General features: G+C 38.5%; 1 protein-coding gene across 1 annotated transcript in view, besides 1 other annotated feature; it reads left to right on the plus strand.

Moving 5' to 3' along the window:
• PLPPR1 (phospholipid phosphatase related 1) overlaps window positions 1–18,396 on the plus strand; it is a 296,409-nt gene that overhangs the window by 32,472 nt on the left and 245,541 nt on the right. The gene's annotated exons all lie outside the window — the stretch shown is intronic.
• Window positions 11,852–12,404: an enhancer, noted in NCBI's record as "OCT4-NANOG hESC enhancer chr9:103835332-103835884 (GRCh37/hg19 assembly coordinates)". NCBI's record gives its function as "activates a minimal SCP1, AML or CMV promoter by ChIP-STARR-seq in naive H9 embryonic stem cells {active_cell/tissue: H9 hESC(naive)}" and the evidence as "EXISTENCE:reporter gene assay evidence [ECO:0000049][PMID:30033119]".

Raw genomic sequence — 18,396 nt, forward strand, 5'->3', positions numbered from 1 at the left:
CATTTTGCCATTCTAATATCTTGAAATTATAAGATATGAAATATATCTAATTGCCTCTGTGAAAACAGAGGCAAATTTCTAGGCAGTGTGAGGTGTTCTTCTGAGCTCTTCATCCCATTAACTTTCATTTATGATATTAAAAAAACATGTTAATTAAGATATAACTTGCAAAATGCTCTGCAGTTTGTGTGTGTGTGTGAGAAAGAGAGGGACTTTCAGGAATTGAAGATTTTCTCTGCATGATACACTTCTGACAGCTGACTAAAAAGCAGCTCAGTCAGACATCTTTATTATGGAGCACAAGTCACATTTTAAACAACTGAAGCTTATTATTTTGGGATTTTCTTCTGGATTTGCCATCACTTTTAATGGCAAAAAGTGCAATTACATTTGCACCAACCTAGTAAGATTCACTCATTTGATTCCTGAGGCTCCCAGAGTCGTTTAGAGTTAATTGTCCCTAGTCTGTATTCCCTAGACTTGTTAGAGACTATTTTCTTCTCAAGATCAAGGAAGATGTTGTATTTATGCAGGGTCCTTAAAACATAGTTATTGTAACTGGCACATAGCAGATACAGGTTAATATTTATGGAATAAATGAACAAATAATTGGTCAAGGTCTCTGGAAATCAGTTTGAACTGCTTTAATATGATAACCTCTACAGTTCCTCTAAAATCTGAACGAAATTTTGGGGTGAGAAAATCAAGAAATAACTATCTAGCTGGCTTGAGTCTAGAATCTTCAGGAGAGATAAGAATTATCATGCTATTTGGAGTTGCTTTGATTACTTGTGAACAGCTGCATTTTGTTCATCAGGTGATATAATTGCATAGGTAAAGGCTAAAGTAGCCAAAATTGAAAAATGGTTAATGTATGCAGTTTCTAGCTGTCAATCAAACTCTGTCTTTTGCAAGTATTTCTGGGGCATTCACAGTTAATGACAAAATGTGGTGTGTGTGTGTGTGTGTGTGTGTGTGTGTGTGTGTGTGTATGTTTTCCTTCACAAACCTGAGCATTTCATGCAAATATCTGTCAAGGATCACATTAAACAACATTAACCACCTCAATGCAAGCTGAAAAATCCCTTCAAACTTACAGATATTCTCAGAAAGAAGGTAATTTTTAAAAATACATGTTTTCTTTTCAAATAATAATTGTGCAAATGGGGCTCATTGATTGCCTGGATTTTAGTTTAGCCCTCATTAGGCTACATACAGGCTAATATTCCTTTAATATTGGTAGACCTGAGTTTTGCAGAATAAGCAAACCTTTTGATAGGTTTTATACTTAAACATAGCAAAAAAATTATTTTAATGCTAGGTTATAGGCATAATCCTCACATATTTTAGTCTGTATTATTTTATGCAGTGATTTAAACTGCTACATTTAGGGAACATGTTTAGAACATCTTATGACACATTGTAACTGCATTGAGAGCACTAACTCCTGAAATGTAGAGAGGAAAGGCAACTAAAATTACCTGAAATTTGTTTTTTGTCTAAATATTCTTTCCCAGAAGAGACTCTCAAATGAAAACTGATCCAATAGATAACAATTATAAGGTAAGGCAAAAATAATAGGCTCTATGTTATCATATGGTGTAAGTGCTTGTGTTGTCTTTGGGCTTGTGTTTGGAAATATGGTTTACTCTGGGTCATTCATTTATCATTGTGTCCACCAGATTTGTGTAATCCTCATGATGATGATACCTTAATTTGCTACAGAGTCTTAGGTCATGCTCAAAGTTCAGTTTTGGGAGCAGCGGGAATGGGCTTGGCTTGATAAAGATCACATGATCTTTGTGTGTTCTCAGTCAACTGTTTTTCATATATCACAAGGGGTGAGAAGCCTGACATAAACTTTCTTTAACACAGCTAGAGTGAGATATTTGAGGAGATTATGTTTTCTAAAACATATAAAGTGTTTATTAAGACTTTCAGAAAGTGTAAAAGCTGCTAGGTAATGCACGAGGCACTTCCTTGAACTGTATACTTATTTCTTTTCATTTAAAAGAAATTCTAATTTTGTGAACTTTGTTCTTCTGGACCAAGCTGAAGGTGGAAGAAATGATGGGGGCTGCCCCATGCAGTCATTCAGGGTCTCACGGTGAAGGTGATATGGCATCCTCACATGTAGTTTCACAGATCCTTTATGTGTCAATCAGTGTCCAGCTGGCGCTTAAGCAGAGAGTGGAGAGGTTGTGAGTACCCTTCTAGTGGTGGCACTTCCACCCACATGCTATTGGCCAAGATTCAGTCACATAACTATGCTTACATGCAAGGGAGAAGGAGGAGAAAATAAAATATTTTACTAGAAAGCCACTTCTCTAATTCAGCTCCTCAACACAGAATAGACATTCTCTGGTAGAACACTAGCTGTTTCTTCCACACTCCTCACGTATTAAGCTCCATCCACCCTGACTTTTACCCTGATCCTGGCATATTTACATCTCAGGGCCTTTGTCTATGTTGTTCCTCTTCTAGGAAAATTTCTGCTGCCCTTAACTTGTCTGGTCATTTTTCTTTTCAATCTTAAGGTTTTTCTTAAACACTATCCCCATCAAAGACACCTTTCTTAATCACCTGTCAAAAGTAAGATTGTCCCAAGTACCTTGTTGGTTTTCTTTACAGCGCTTACCATAATTGGCCATCATTTGATCTGTTTACTTCCTTTTGTTTGTTTCTCCCACTAGAGTGTAAGCTCATGAAACTAGGTATATGATTGTCTTTTACACTATTGAATTCCTAATGCTTGTCACAGTGCTTGACATATAGTAGATGCTTAACAAATATTTTCTAAATTAAAGCAGAAGGCTCTGGGTTATGAGTAAATAATTGTAGTATTAAACTAAAACACCATTACCATTAATATAAATTTATAGATCTATGATTCTATAGACAGGTTTGACAAAACACAGTCAGTGCATCATTATTACCCTGTACTGACACTTTATATTAATCCAACTCATTCTTGAATTATTTTAAAGTAACTATTCCAATTAGCCATTGCTGTATAGTACATTACCTGAAAACTTAGTGGCTTAAAACAGCAACAATAATTTTATCACCTCATGGATTTTGTGGGGCAAGAATTCAGAAAGTGCTTGGCTAAACCTGGCTCAGAGTTTCTCATGGGATTAATATTTATAGAATGAATGAATGAATGAATGAATGAATAGGGTTATGGAATGAATATTTATGGAATGAATGAATGAATGAATGGGGTTATGGTCAAATATTTGCTGGAGCTAGACCAACAGTGGTGCCAGAGCAAACACAGAAGCTGCAGGTTTCCAAAGATCAAGTATTCCTGTGAGCCAGTCAGAAGCACATTGACATTTAGGACTTAACCTTGGAAGCAGGGCATCCATTTTGCTGTATGCCATTGGTTGAAACAGTCACAAAAGCCCTCCTGGTCCAAGCGGAGCAGACATAGACCCCAATTCTGGGTAGGAGGTGCATCTTCGTCTGTTTTCTGTTACTATAACTGAATATCTGAGACTGAGTAATTTATAAAAAATGTATTTCTTACAGTTCTGGAGGCTGGGAGGTCTAAGATTGAGGGAGCGCATCTGATGAGGGCCTTCTTTCCGATGGGGACTCTGCAGAGTTTTGAGGTCGCTCAGGGAGTCTCATGGAAAGGGGGCTCAGGAGAGAGGGCAAAACTGGGTTTTATAACAGATCTACTCTCGTGATAACCAACCCATTCTCATGATAATTGATTAATCAATGAATGGACTAATCCATGAGGGCTCTGCCTTTGAGACCAAATCACCTCCCAAAGGTCCTGCCTCTCAACACGTCTACACTGGGGACCAACTTTTTAAGACATGAACTTTTAGGGGACACAATCAAACCATATCAAGAAATATCAAAGGATTTGTGCATATATTTTTAAACTGTCATATCAACCAGGAGGGAATGAATCCTTGGACTTGCAGAGCATTTTAAGGACTTATTATTACCAGGCTTTCTCTCTCACCCTACTTTTTTATACAGGCCAGTAAGGAATTCCATAGCACTTAACCTCCTCCATGCACAGAACGCTCTTTAAGTAGCTGAGGTATGTATGTATTCAGAACTTCTTATTTGAAAAATGCCTCCTCTGCAGGGTATTGTAGATGTCATATTATGAGAACCCTGACATTGAATCGAGCACTCACTTCCTTTCAAACCTTTGGAAATAGGCTGTATTGATTCTTAACATTTCTCTGGCACATTTGTGGAAAACAGCTTTTCTCAGAATAATTGGTCTTGGTTTCCCAGCCTTAATATTCTACATAACAAATTCTCTGTTTTCATTAAGGCATTTTATTTATAACAAATGGGTCAAAAATATTCTTTACCCTGGTCACAATTCTGTAGGAAGAAATTGTCAAGCATTCTGGGATGCTGCTCTGTAACCATCTCAGTAAAGTCTTCTCATGAGATGGTTTAAAAGGTGGATAATTTGTGTTAGAGAACTCACAAACTGTTAGATTACTCCAAGTTCCAAAATACGCAGGAAATCCTTAATCAAATGTGTAACATAATCCCACTATTATTTTTACTATGAGACTTTATTTATAGTTAGAAATATACTGTTCCAAGTGTGACCTTAAGCAAGGATTCATTGACTTAAAAAAAACTTTTTATTTCAAAGCAGTTTTATTTTTACAGAAAAGTTGCAAGACTATTACAGGGAACACTTGTATAACCCTCACCTAACTTCCCCTATTGTTGACATTACTATGGTACTTTTGTCCCAATTCATGAACCAATATTGATACACTTATTAACTAAAATCCACACTTAATTCAGATTTTCTTAATTTTTATCTGTCTGCTTTCTGTACCAGGATCCCACTCAGGATACCACATTGCATTTACTTCTCATGTTTCCCTAGACTCCTGTAGACTGTTACAGCTTTTCAGATATTCCTTATTTTTGATGACCTTGACGGTTTTGAGGAATGCTGGTCAGATATTTCATATAATGTTTTTCAATTTGGGTTTGTCTGATATTTTCTCATGAGTAACAGGACTTATGGATTTGGGGGATGAAAATAGTCTGTTCTACCCATGTCTCATATCAAGAGCACATACTATCAATGTGACTTATCAGTATTGATGTTAACCTTGATCACCTGGCTGAGATAGTATGTGTCAGATTTCTCCACTGTAGCAAATTACTTTTGTCCCTACCCCCTTCCATACTTTGGAAGGAATTCACCATGCACATCCCCCTCTTAAGGAATGGGGAGTCATGCTCCACCTTCATGGGGTGGGGGTGGGGGAGTATCAATTTAAGTTATTTGGAATTCTTCTGTACAGGAGATTCATTTCTTCTCCCTCATTTATTTACTTAATCATTTATGTCAGTATGGACTCATGGATGCTTATTATATACTTTAGGTTATAATCCTATACTACTATATTTTGTTGCTCAAGTTGTTCCATCCTTGGCCATTGGGAGTGCTTTCAGTTGGATCCTGGGCTCCTTTGACATATCCCCATCATAGTGATTTTCTTTGGGCACTTCCTTACTTTCTGGCACTAAAAGGTGTTCCAAACTCATCTTGTATATTTTATTCCCCTGACCTAGAATCAGCCATTTTTTCAAGGATTCCTGGTCCTTTAATTGGAAAATTATATTAGAAACCAAGAACTAGCTACTGGATGTGCTTGTTGCTCCTGGGGTGGGTTCATTGAATTTCCCCAGCCTACCATTTATAAACACTTACCTACCATTTATTGAAGAGCTACTCTGAGCTAGACATTTTAGTTACACAAGATGAAAAAATTATCACCCTGCATGATGGTGTTCCAGATGAGAGAATTCTCATATGTTAAATGTCTTGCCTGAGATAGAGAGCTAGTAAATGGCAAAGCTACTATTCAAGCTTTGTTCTCTGTAATGGTAGGACAGTGTTCATTTGCAATGATGCCTCAACTCTGTTGCGAGGTCATAAATTTTTTTCCTGCTGGTAGTCAACTATTTTATAGGTTCAAACTGTAACTGAACAATATAATATTTCTGTCTCAGTACAAGTCACCAAAAAAAAAAGACTCAAAGGCAGGACCTATATTTAGTGAGCAAATAACATTACTTCATATAATATCACCATCATTATCTTGGTCTGCTTTAGGATAGGATTTGAGGAAGTACGGTCAATCAGAGGAGACATTTGGCTCTTGTGGCCTTGGGCTGTGAATTTTGTAAAACAAATATGGTTCTTGCCCTCAAGAATATTGTATTGAATAGGATGGTTAAAAAATATATATAATCAATAGAAATTAATGATTCATTAATAGCTAAAGGACTTTAATAAGAGGGTATGCATGAGTGAGTCTTAGGAAGTTAGAGGATGAGTAACATGAAGCCAGAAAGAACTCTTGAAAGAACAGAGGAAAAGTCAAATGCTTTTTATTCTGCCGAGAGAGGTCACAATCCACCTTTCAAAACTTTGTCTGGAGTGCAGATAAAAAGTCTTCCCTGGACTTCCAAACCCTTTGGCACTAACAGATTCCTTTCTTTCCTCTAGGTGGATGCTGAGAACAGCAAAGATGGACAGGGTAGACCAAGCATTGTTCTGTTAGGGAGTTGAGTGTTGTGACTAAGAGAACAGGCTTTAAGAACAGAAAAGCCATGTGTTTAAATCCTAGGCCTGGCACTTATGAGCTGTATGACCTTGAGTAGTTTCCTTAACCTTCCAGAGTTTTAGTTTGTTTATTGTTTAAGTGAGGAATAACAGTACCTTCTTCATAGGGCTGTTGTGAGAATTATTTGAGGCAAAGCATATGCTTAACATAATGCTAAATGCTGAGAAGGTACTCAGTTATTATTAAAAGGTGTCTAAAGTACACATTAGCCCACAAAAGCCTATTCAGAAAATAATATGGTTGATCCACTATTATAAGGGCAATAATTGTTATATTAATGCCAAACATTTATTGAGCAAATACCATGTACAAGTCCTTATTCTAGGACCTTACATATATTAACTGAATTAATTATACTAATGACATTACTGAATCCAACCAGTCTTTATAAATTATTTCTAGGGAAAATACTTCTCAAATTTTGTATGTGGGAGAGAAGAAAGATAACACTCCAGTGTCAGTAGAGTCATGGCTGTAGAGACATAGCCAGTGTATTGATGGAAGCCCGAGGGGAAGAGGACAGAGCAGACAAGTCCCGGTAGGGGCTTAAAAAAGCAGTATTTGGGAGCAGGGTTTTCATTCATCACTGAAGAGCTTTGGAAAGACCTGGATTTATGAATACATTTTCAATATTTTTTTTCTCAAGTCTTGCTAACCAGGCCTGGTAGGGTGGGAAGGGGTAGAATTTGAGATTGCTCTAATGCTGAAACATTTGGTATGGCTGAAACTTCATGAACTGAGAGTAGGAAAAATGCTCTTATTTTTCAAGGTGCCCATAGGCTTAGTATAAATTAAAACCTAGCCTCCCTGAGTCTATGATCCCTTCCCCAAACACCGAGAGACAAATGTGCTCAAGACTTACTAATTAGGTGGAACCATCTAATGATTTCATTGCTGTTGCAGCTTCCACTAAGAGAGTGTTTGATTCATGTAAGGCAATCAAAACTATAATCCACTGCTAGCAAATGAAGACAGACAAGAACGTTACTTCTAGTGAGTGTAGTATATCAACTTTGCTTATTATGCACAGGATGACAGGGGATAGGAAAAGGGCTCTGTCTGCTGAAAGACTGCTTAGAATTACTGTCCATTATCCAGGGCAAATGTTTTACAAAACAAAACAGTGACTTCTGCTTAGGGTATCTTTGGGAACTGAGGACAGAAGAGGAAATTGACTACTGGAAAGAATTCCCCTGGTGGCATTTAAGATGATCTAGCCTTCCCTAGTGGCTGTTGTTATTTTCCATATGGATGCTCTTCAGGAGGAAAGCAAGAAAACAAACCAGCATATTTGTTTAGGAAAAAAAAAAGCTGTGATGCTGCAAAACTCATATTAAAATCTACAGCAGCCTGGCTCCTGATAACCTGTGAGTTGCTGGGCGTAACCACCTTTTTAAATCCTGTAATAGAGCAACAACCAACATGTTAGATATAATGATTTTCATTTTAGAGATGAAAAAATTAAGGCTGATAGAGGTAAAGCAACTTTCCCAAGATCAAGTAATAGAGCTGGATTTCAACCTACACATCCCCTCTCTAGAGCCCATGATTAGAATCACTGTGTTGCAGGTCTGTGTCTACAATGGTAACGTTGTGACATAACCGAGCAGTATCAGTGGTGTCCTCCCTGGAAAGGCCTGGCCATCCCAGTGATACGTTTCTGAGTTAGAAGGCATCTTGGACACTCCACAGGTTCTTAACCTGCCTGCACATTGGAATTACCTGGAAAACTGGAAAATAAACTTATACCTGAATCCCACTCTCAGAATTTTGGATTTGACTGATCTGGGTGGAGTATTGTTGGTGGGAAAGGCAGGTATTTAAAAGTTCCCTAGTTGGTTCCAATATGATTCAAAGTTGAGAACCACTGACCAGCCCTCTGGACTGGCAACACTTACGTCCCTAACTGTCAGCATCAGCATCATCTGGAAATTTGTCAGAAATGCAGACTGCCAGGCTTCACCTCAGGTGATTTGTATGCACACTACAGTTTGAGAGAATGGCAGGCAGTGCTCAGCTAACCCCTAAGGGATTAGGAGGACTTAGGGAAAGTGGGAAGGGAAGAACAGAGGGAATTCTGATGTTTTCTCATGATTAACAGGGCTTATGGGTTTTGGGGAGGAAAATAGTGCTGTTCTACCCATATCGTATCAAGAGTACATACTATCAATGTGACTTATAACTATTGATGTTAACCTTGATCACCTGGCTGAGATAGTGTGTGTCAGATTTCTCCACTGTAGCAAATTACTTTTGTCCCTACCCCCTTCCGTACTTTGGAAGGAATTCACTATGCACATTCCTCACTTAAGGAATGGGGAGACATGCTCCGACTTCATGGGGTCAGGGGGACTATCAATTTAAGTTATTTGGAATTCTTCTGTACAGGAGATTCATTTCTTCTCCCTCATTTATTTACTTAGTCATTTATGTCAGTATGGACTCGTAGATGTTTATTATATACTTTGGGTTATAATCCAATACTACTATATTTTGCTCAAATTGTTCCAGCCTTGGCCATTGGGAACTCTTTCAGTTGGATCCTGGGCTCCTTTGACATATTCCTATCATAGGGAATATGAGAATAACATCGCAAAAAAACCAGAAAAGGAAGAATGGCACATAAAGGAACTCGAAGCAGGTCTTGGTGGCTGAAGCAGAGATTACCAACAGATTATTAGATCAACCTTTTCATACAGACGAGAAATGCTTCTTTCTAGGACTAAGGATTGAGCACTGGCTACTTCCTCTGTCTGCCTGGTTCATATCTTCCACTCGAAGTGATACCTTCTCAATAACGGCCTACCCTGGTTTCCTCGTTTAAATCATGATCTTTCCTCTAAACTTGCACTCTCAGACTTCAATATTTGCTCCATTTTTTCCCCTCAACATTTGTAACCTTCTAATATGCTAAATAGTGTATTTATTTTGTCTTTCTTTACTGCACATCCCCACCCTAGAATGTAAATTCAACGAGCGCACAGATTTTGTTTTTGTTCTGCATTGTATCCTCCAGCACTAACAACAGTATCTGACACTTCAAAGAGGTGCTTCACATTTATTTGCTGAGTTAAAATGAATTAATCAATTTACAAAAATTTGGGTTAGTTTATGCTTACTTTATCTAGAGTGGGATTGTGAAATATCAGTCAAAAGCCTTTTCAGGAGTTTAAATGAGTGAAGAACAAGATCAGGTTTGATTTTAGAAAGACCATCTGGCTGTGTGTATCTAGTGGACCCAGGAATGGGGAGGCCGAGGGCTGCACTAAACGCAGGGTAAGGCCAGTTTGGTGACAATGTCAGCCTGCCCTAAGAGAGCAGTGGCTGAAGAAGATAGCATGCATTTGAGGTCTTCTTAGGAAGTAGCATCAGCAGGGGACAGCTCAGGGAGTAAGGAAGAGAGGAGTCATTCTAGGTTTCTGGTTTAGGCAACCAGAAGGATGGAAAGCCATCTGTAGGCAGTGCTGAGGAAGAACAGATATTTGGAGGGAAAAAGTTAAGCTGTTTTGAAGTATTAAAAATTGCAGACTGATGTAACCTGGTGGAAATGTAGATTTCACATTCATTAAACAATGACCTATTACCCTTCTGGCACTATAGTAAGCCCCAACGAGTAAGTGGTAGTCATTCAATGAAGTACCCACTACGTGCCAGACATAGTGTCAGCTCCAGTGGGGAATGAGACAGGTGTGTGGATTCATCCTCCTTGCACTTGCAGAACTTGGAGAAACAGAAAAAATCATGTGAGAGCAATGGGAGTGAGAAGGAGAGAGAGAGAGAGAGAGAGACAGACAGAGATAGTACAAGATTACTTTCAGCTAGGGATTCAGGGGAATGCAGCTTTCTGGTAATGATAGCATTTACAGTGGAGCTTAAAAAGAAATATAAAGTTTAGAAACAGAACAAAGGAAATCAAAAGCATGAAGGCAAACAATCTAAATACTATGTCAGGAATAGTGAATAATTTGGGTTGCCAGGAATTAGGAACATAGAGCCCAGGGTAGGGTGTGTAATGAGAGGCAAACTTGTAAACACAAATGGAAATCGTAGAAAGCCAGGTGAAGGAATTTCAACTGTGAGATTCTGTAAGAGGTTAGCTTGGAACAGAATAGAAATACAGCAACTGTCTATTCAGTGTATCTATGAATCATTTTTGAATGGGGGTAATAGTTGGAACGTGGTGTTTGGAGAAGATACACATGATTTCAGTATGGACAATGGGATAGAGAGAGAAGAAGCTGGGAGATGAGGCTATTTTAGTAGTGTATTAGTTAGATAGCCTATTTACTGTGTCAGATATCCCTACAGTCTAGCGTCAATACTGTAAATGTTTGCCTCTCATTTTTGCAAATCCACTGCAGATGTTTCTGGTTGGGTGGCTCATTTGTACAGACAGCTCTCCTCCAAATTGTGACTCAAGCCCTGGTCTTCCTTATGTGTTGCGGCTTAGCCCTCCTCTAGGTCTTTGGAGTCTCTCCTCCATCCAGCTCACAATTTGGAAAAGAGAAAGGAAGGTATTCTCAAAAGGATTCTATGGACCATCCAGAAAGAGCATATAACACTTCTGCATGCATTCCATTATAGCCAGAACCAAATCATGTGGCTTCAGCTAACTGCAAGGAAGGCTGGGACGTGTAGTCTAGCTGTGTGCCCAGGAAGAGAAGGGAACTGATTTGGTGTATAACAAATCACGCTGTGCCACAAGTAATGAAGTTGAGAGAGAAAGATTAACTGAGGGAATAGAGAGGAAAAGATGCATTCAGTAGATGCTGGGCAAGTGGAATTGGCAGTAAAATTGCTATTGATTGGGCATGGGATGTAGGGTAGGCAAATAATACATTTTTCAAATAAAATTGCTGCCAAGGAAATGATATTTACATCATATGCCATGGAAAACATATGTTAATATTTCCCAGATCTTAGATTGTCATTATGGGCTTTGTAGTTCAGAAGAAAACAAAGGAAAATATTGTAGCAACTCAGGAGAAGATTCACAGAGAAGTTTAGAAGTTCTTGCATCCATATGAAAGCTTTTTATTCTCGCATGTTGTATTAAAGAAAATAATTTCACCATTCATGGTTGCTATTCATGAAAACTTTAAGAAAGCATGTGTCCAGATTTGTGATGTTTAGGAATTCTTAACTGGTTTAACCAAGTAGGGTGAGAATACACAAACTCATATAACTACCCTGACAAATGCAGAAAATCAAAGGTAGCTACTATTATTATGCAGATAAAACAAAGACAATTGGAGAGGAATGGGTCTGGGTTAGATGATCTGAGCACAAAGTAATAAATCATGGCATGTTTGTATAGCATGGTGATACTTTAAAACTCTAATTTTTGCTGTGTTATTTCTCAAAGGAACTTCCAACTGAATTGTAGCTCACCAATACAGGATTCTGGGTTGAAATTTGTTTTGCAGCCAATCTATTGCACAAATTGAGGCAGCTGTGCACAGCATGTGTTTTGTTTCAATGACTATATAGTGAGGGGTGTTATGCAAAGGGCCGCTAATCAGGGAAAAGACTCTCTTCAATTGGCAACTTTTCAGGGCTACATGTAAAGGAGAATTTACATGTTTCATTAAAAGTGAACCATCCTATTGGTTTGTATGCAACCTAGATCATTTAATTTTATGCTAAAAAAAAAAGCTCAGACGTTGTTTGCAGTCCTATGTCTTCCCTCAGTTCATTAGCTTGAATAAGTTCCCTTGGTGGAGAAATTGATTGTAGAACAGTGGGTTTCTTGGGGTTGGTCATTGCTGAATACCTAGATAAGCTCAGTAAGATTAGGCTTGTCTTTTCGTATGGGCTTTGATGATGGCAATCTACTATATTCTCTGGTTAAAATCCTTGTCACACTTGACTTTTGTTTTGCTTAATTTTTACAATGTGTTCAGCTAGAAAAATAAAAGTAGATCGATCTATTTCACTTACTCTAAGTTAAGTTGTTCCTTACACGGATTTCCATGCCTTGGCTCATGTTTGCGTATCTGCACTGAAGCAGCCAGTGCTAATCTATATGAATCTGTTTTATGGAGACAGAAGAAGATGAAGCCATGAATATTAATATCCTATTATCATGTGATGATATTCCAAGCACATATACCATAAAAATCACAAAATGAGAAAGGCAAGGATGCCAGGATATTCTATATAATTCCTGTCCCAAAGAAATGAAGCCAGGAAAGCGCATGAAACAAAGTATGACTCAGGCCTTGCCATAGTAAAAAACTATGGCTCCGAGGTTTCAATTCTGAATTCAATTGTGAAGTCCTAGGGGGTATACCGATGCATCAGGAAAAGTGAACATGGCATCCAGTGTCTTTGTGGATCAATAACATGCAATACATTAAATTGATGGTTTGTGAATGCTATATATATTTCAGTTTAGGTGATTAGCTATCACAAAATCAAGTATGACATTGGGATGTAGCATTTTTCCTCAGTTATTAGAAATAGATCTAATAGATAAGCATGGAATTTTGGCTCTCATAAATCATTTAAACTCACCAATTTTTCCCTAAAAGAAAAAGTGAGGTTCATAGAGGTAAAGCAGCTTACCCAACATGACCCAGCTAATTAGTGACTTGTTTTGCCACATTACATGATAACCCATTTGCAGCAACAGGTCCACAAATATTCTTCCCTTTGAATAAGCATCAAGGCTCTGTCCATTCTTAAGTAAAACATTTCTCTGAGAAAATGGGGCAGTGCAAGGCATAGGAGAAACAGGTTTCCTTCCTCCAACTATCCTTTCTCTAACTATGACTTTGTGCTCCTGTTCTCTTTGGTTGCTATGTTGGTCATTCATTCATTTATTACCCACTGAGCATCACTATGTGGTAGGTTTTCTGCCAGGTTTAACAGAACACCGAGAGAATGGTGTATGAGTATGTTTGTATACTGGATGAGCTAAGTATTGCACTAATTATCAAGTGGTTACCCAGAAAAATAATTTCAAATAATAGAAACATGTTTGGTGCAATGATAACAAAAGGAAGAACTACAGATACAAGTTTATGAAGTGTCATTAAAACAACCCCCAGCAGGATCTGATTCTAAAGTGCAGTGTTTTACTTTCCTTCCCAAGCAAAAGAAATTAAGGGAGATCACTTACTGTGAGCCACAGAATTTGAACCAAACATTAAGCATCTCCTAAAAATAAATTTTCATGGACAACAGTTGCGGGAAACTGCTCAAATTAGTGCTATAAAAATTAAGGTTTATGTTAAGAGCTGGAGAACAGATAAAATTCTTAAATAATCCAGTGTTTAAGAGAAGTATATCTTTTATATTTTTGTTTGGGTTGAAAACTGAATTTTTCAAGTATTGTAAATAAGCATTTCCTTGTATGGATTTTCAGTTTGGTGACTTGTTAAGAGTCATATGCCTGAGATCACAGATAATAGCCTCACATCAAAATAAATTTGAATTCTGCTTCATTTTAAAATATGTTTGATTTGTTCACCACACCATTGGTCTTTTTATAAAATAGCTTTATTGTCTTTGGTAGAGTAAGCATAATATTACTATATTCATTCTCTGATTAGCACAATGAACATTCCACCAGCTTTGTACTAAATTATAAGCCCTGGTCTAACTTTCTAATTACAAATGACATGTGGAATACATTTTCTAATTACAGATGACGTAGGTCACAAACAGTTCTCAGATGAGAGTAACAGAAAGAGACCAATCAAGGTAGAGTCATTTGGTGCCTAGTGAAAAAAGCTCTCTTGTGACTAGAAAACTCAAACTGCTATCTGGTTTCCTCCACAGATTTATTTGTTTATTCAAAAATTATTTATCATTTATCCCCTAGTGCTACAGATAAACAGCCAGAGGAATTCCTTGCCTACTTGGAGCTTTCTCTGTGTAGAGAAGGCAGATAATAAGCATATAAGCAATTAATGATAGCGTACCTTCAGATAGAGATGAGTGCCAGGGATAGAAAATAAAATAGGACAGTGGTGTAGATGGAGAGTGGTTGGATGAGGATTTCCTTTAGCTGGGGGATAGGGTAAGAAGGCCCTTCAGAGAAGGTGAAGAGCAAAGTGAGAACAAGTTTAGTCAGAGGGAACAATCAGTGCAAAGACCCTGAAACTGGAACAAGCATGAGGTGTTGAGGGTCAGAAAGAAGGCCAGTGACACAGAAGGGGCACGCGGGAGAGTGTCAGATGAAGCTGGAGATTGGACAGGGACTTGAGCAGGTACAGCAGTGGTTCTCAAAGTGCAGTCACTGGACCAGCAGCATCAATATCATCTGGGAATTCGTGAGTAATGCAAATTCTCCAGGCCCACCCCAGACCTCCTGAATCAGACACTCTGGGGTGGGGCCCAGCCATCCGTGTTCTAACCAACCTTCCAGGTCACTCTGATGCATGCTTAAGCTTGGATCTGCTGATCTAGAGCCTTGTTTGCCATGATAAGGAATTTGAGTTTTAGTCTCTATTGGAAGCTTTCAAGCAAAAGACTGAAATAATGTGACTCTGCCTTTGAGAAGATAACTTTGGCCTTTGTGAGAAGAATGGGCATATTGGTACTTACTCTTTTATGTATATGTTCTGACTAAAAATTGTGGCTCAGCGGGAAAGAACAATTAGCAAATTCATGCTGAGCTCTATTTGCTTTTATTGTGAAGGATAATTGTGTTCAGTCTCATGTTTGAATCCCAGATGTCTGTACCTGAAAATGCAAATAGCAATTCCCTACTGTGAGATGTCAGATAACTGAAATTCAAATACACTTGTGGAAATGCAAACCCATTATCAATTGTCTTTGAGTACTAATGTCTTAAATAAGGCAGATTTTCTAGTTGAAATAAACAATTGACTTTAGCAATGGAATATAATTAGGAGAGTTATTAATTAATATTAGTTGTCTATTTTACTCTGGATATCAGCTCATTTTTGGTATTGTGTGTATGTGTAAGACATATTTCTAAAGTGGAAACTTAACCTTCCTACTATAAAATTCCTCTGGATATTTATTGAGTCTTCAAGGGATGATTCAAGAATGTTCTAGAACAAGTCTTCTTCCACTACTCACATTTGCCATTTCCTCGGCTTCTTCCCTACTTCCCTCTTTTCCTATGATATACCTGATAAAGTTATATGAGGGTATTTTGTCTGTGCCACAACTATCACAGGTAGACCTGTGCCACCTCCCATTACTGGAGGTGTTACCTCTTGTCATATGTCCTTGTGGCACTGTGGTAGCATCCCAGTGGACTAGTGCTATGGCTGCTTTGCTGAAGGGGCAAATCCCTCACACCCCATTGATGCCAAAGTTAGACAGACTAAACCCAAATAAATGCTGCCTCTGCTTCTTCACATCTCACAGATCTTTTGAGAAAAAGCCACTCTTTTTATTCCTGCTTATGCCCCTATCTCTTCTTAGGACTAGACAGGATTCCTAGGAATGGCCAGAGGCAATTCTCCAAGACAAACCCTGAGTTTTCATTCCTTCCCATATATTCTCTTTTCTACCAGCCACCCCGTTTCTCCAGCCGACTGGCTTAACCATTTGTGTATTACTTGAAACTTTGCTGCCTTTGTTTTCTTTGTTTTCTTTTTTTTCATGTATTCTAGACATATGCAGCCACATTAGTGGGTATGTTATGCATTCAAATAGTTATGCATTCAAATAGTGCTAATTAAGTTACCTGAAGCCTGTAACTGACTGTCTTAGGTCAGCTTCTCTGAGATAGAGATTAGTGTGCAGAAAATTTATTGGAGGATGTGCTCAGAATAGCACCTGTGAGGGGGTAGGAAGCTGACTGGACAGAGGAGGGAGTGAAACTGCAGTGCATCACCACAGAGGCCTTAGACAATCCCACGAGGAGCTCCAAAGTGGGGAAAGACCTTCAGAGTCATCCCAAATTGAGGCAAGGGAGCTGCATCTAGGAACCCCCTTATATGACCTGGGTAGGGGGCCTAACCTTGGGCAAGGCGGCTCCCTTAGAAAGGGCAATTTCCAAAAGGGACACAGGTGTGAAAACCAGCACCTTTGTCCCGAAGAATGGGGAAGCAGATATGGGTTCTGTACCACTATCCACTACAGTTGCAGAAAGACCTTTCACTTTTATATGTGAGGGGGAAACAGAATTTGTAAATGTTTATGATCATTCCTTTTCATACCTTTGATGAGCTAATGGCCGATAGGTGAAAAGTAGACCTGGAGGAGCTAGGAGAAAGTCAAATGGCTTTACCTGGAAGAAAAGAGAGTCTGGAATGGAGGAGGAGGAGAAGGAGAAGGAGAAGAAGAAGAAGAAGAAGAAGAAGAAGAAGAAGAAGAAGAAGAAGAAGAAGAAGAAGAAGAAGAAGAAGAAGAAGAAGAAGAGGAGGGGGGGAGGGGGAGGGGGAGGGGGAGGGGGGAGGGGGGAAGTCAAAGGCTCCAGGTAGGGTCAGAGAAGTGTCAGTGAGGCTGAGTTCTGAGATCTGGCAACAAAAAAGGGCTAGATGTGAGCAGGTCCTGTTCAGAGTAGAATGCAGAAAACCCTGGGGACAGACAACGATATTTAAAAAGTTGTTTTAGGAAATCTTTCTGTGTGAAGTAAAATACAACTTCCTTCCTGATCTCCTTGAGAATCTCTAGTTAAGATTTTCAGTTTTTTGGGAATCAAATTTGTGTGTGCTTCTAGATTTTTTTCCATGTTGAGATTGGCCTTAAGGTTGGGACCTATAAGTTAAAGTAAATCTGGCCAGGCATGGTGGCATACTCCTATAATCACAGCTACTCAGAGGGCTAAGGCAGGAGAATCACTTGAACCTGGGAGGTAGAGGTTGCAGTGAGCTGAGATGGTACCACTACACTCCAGCCTGGGCGACAGAGTGACTCCATCTCAAAATAAATAAATAAATAAATAAATCTCTTGGCCATTTCTGCTAGTACTTGCTCCAGTCTATTTCCTTTTTGCTCTCCTCTATCTTCATTCCCTCCTGTCTCAATTCTTGTATGTTTCTTAGTACGAAAAAAAAGTATTCTCAGTTTCTCATACAGAAAAACTCAGCCCTCTTCCTATCCCCACCCTCAAGCTTGATTCTGACCTCCTTTTGTACACACAAAGATTAATTAATGTCATCCTCTAAACAATGTGCTAGATTGTCAGGGTCTTACCCTTTCATGTATGTTTTATTTAAAAATAGTGTTTTGAAAAATATTTTTAAAGTTATATGTGTGGATGGTATTGAGTTAAATATTTTAATATGTTGGTGAGGAAATGCCATCCTCCCTACCACTTTCACCTCCCTAGAAGCATCTACTTTCCATGTTTTAAAGTAAATTTCCTCTCAGCAGTTTCCACTCATGTTATCTTCTTGTAGAAATCATTCCCATGGACTTCTGACCTGGCCCAGTCTGGTCTGGTGAGCTCCTAGGCAGGCTGCATACATTTTATTCTGCCATCTCCCTTTGCTGTCATCCTGGAGATTCTCTTTTCTGCTTTCTTGTGTAAAATCCTCTGTTTCCTGAAATTCATTATTTCTACTTTCTTAATTTACTCCTTTGTTTTGCTGGAGCACATCTCTCAGTATCTTCCCAAGAAAGGATACACAAGAGGGAAGGTTTTGTTGTTGTTGTTGTGTGTTTTGTTTTAGAATTTTCATGTCTGAATCTGTTTCTCTTTTATCCTCATGCTAAATAATAATAGTTGGGCATGTAAGGGCTTCTAGATCAAAACTCACTATTTCCTTCACATCTTGAAGGTATTGCTCTATTATCTTTTCATTTTGATTGCCTTTTTTTTTTT

The sequence above is a fragment of the Homo sapiens genome, chromosome 9 (assembly GCF_000001405.40).
Source record: "Homo sapiens chromosome 9, GRCh38.p14 Primary Assembly".
Taxonomy (NCBI): Eukaryota; Metazoa; Chordata; class Mammalia; order Primates; family Hominidae; genus Homo; species Homo sapiens.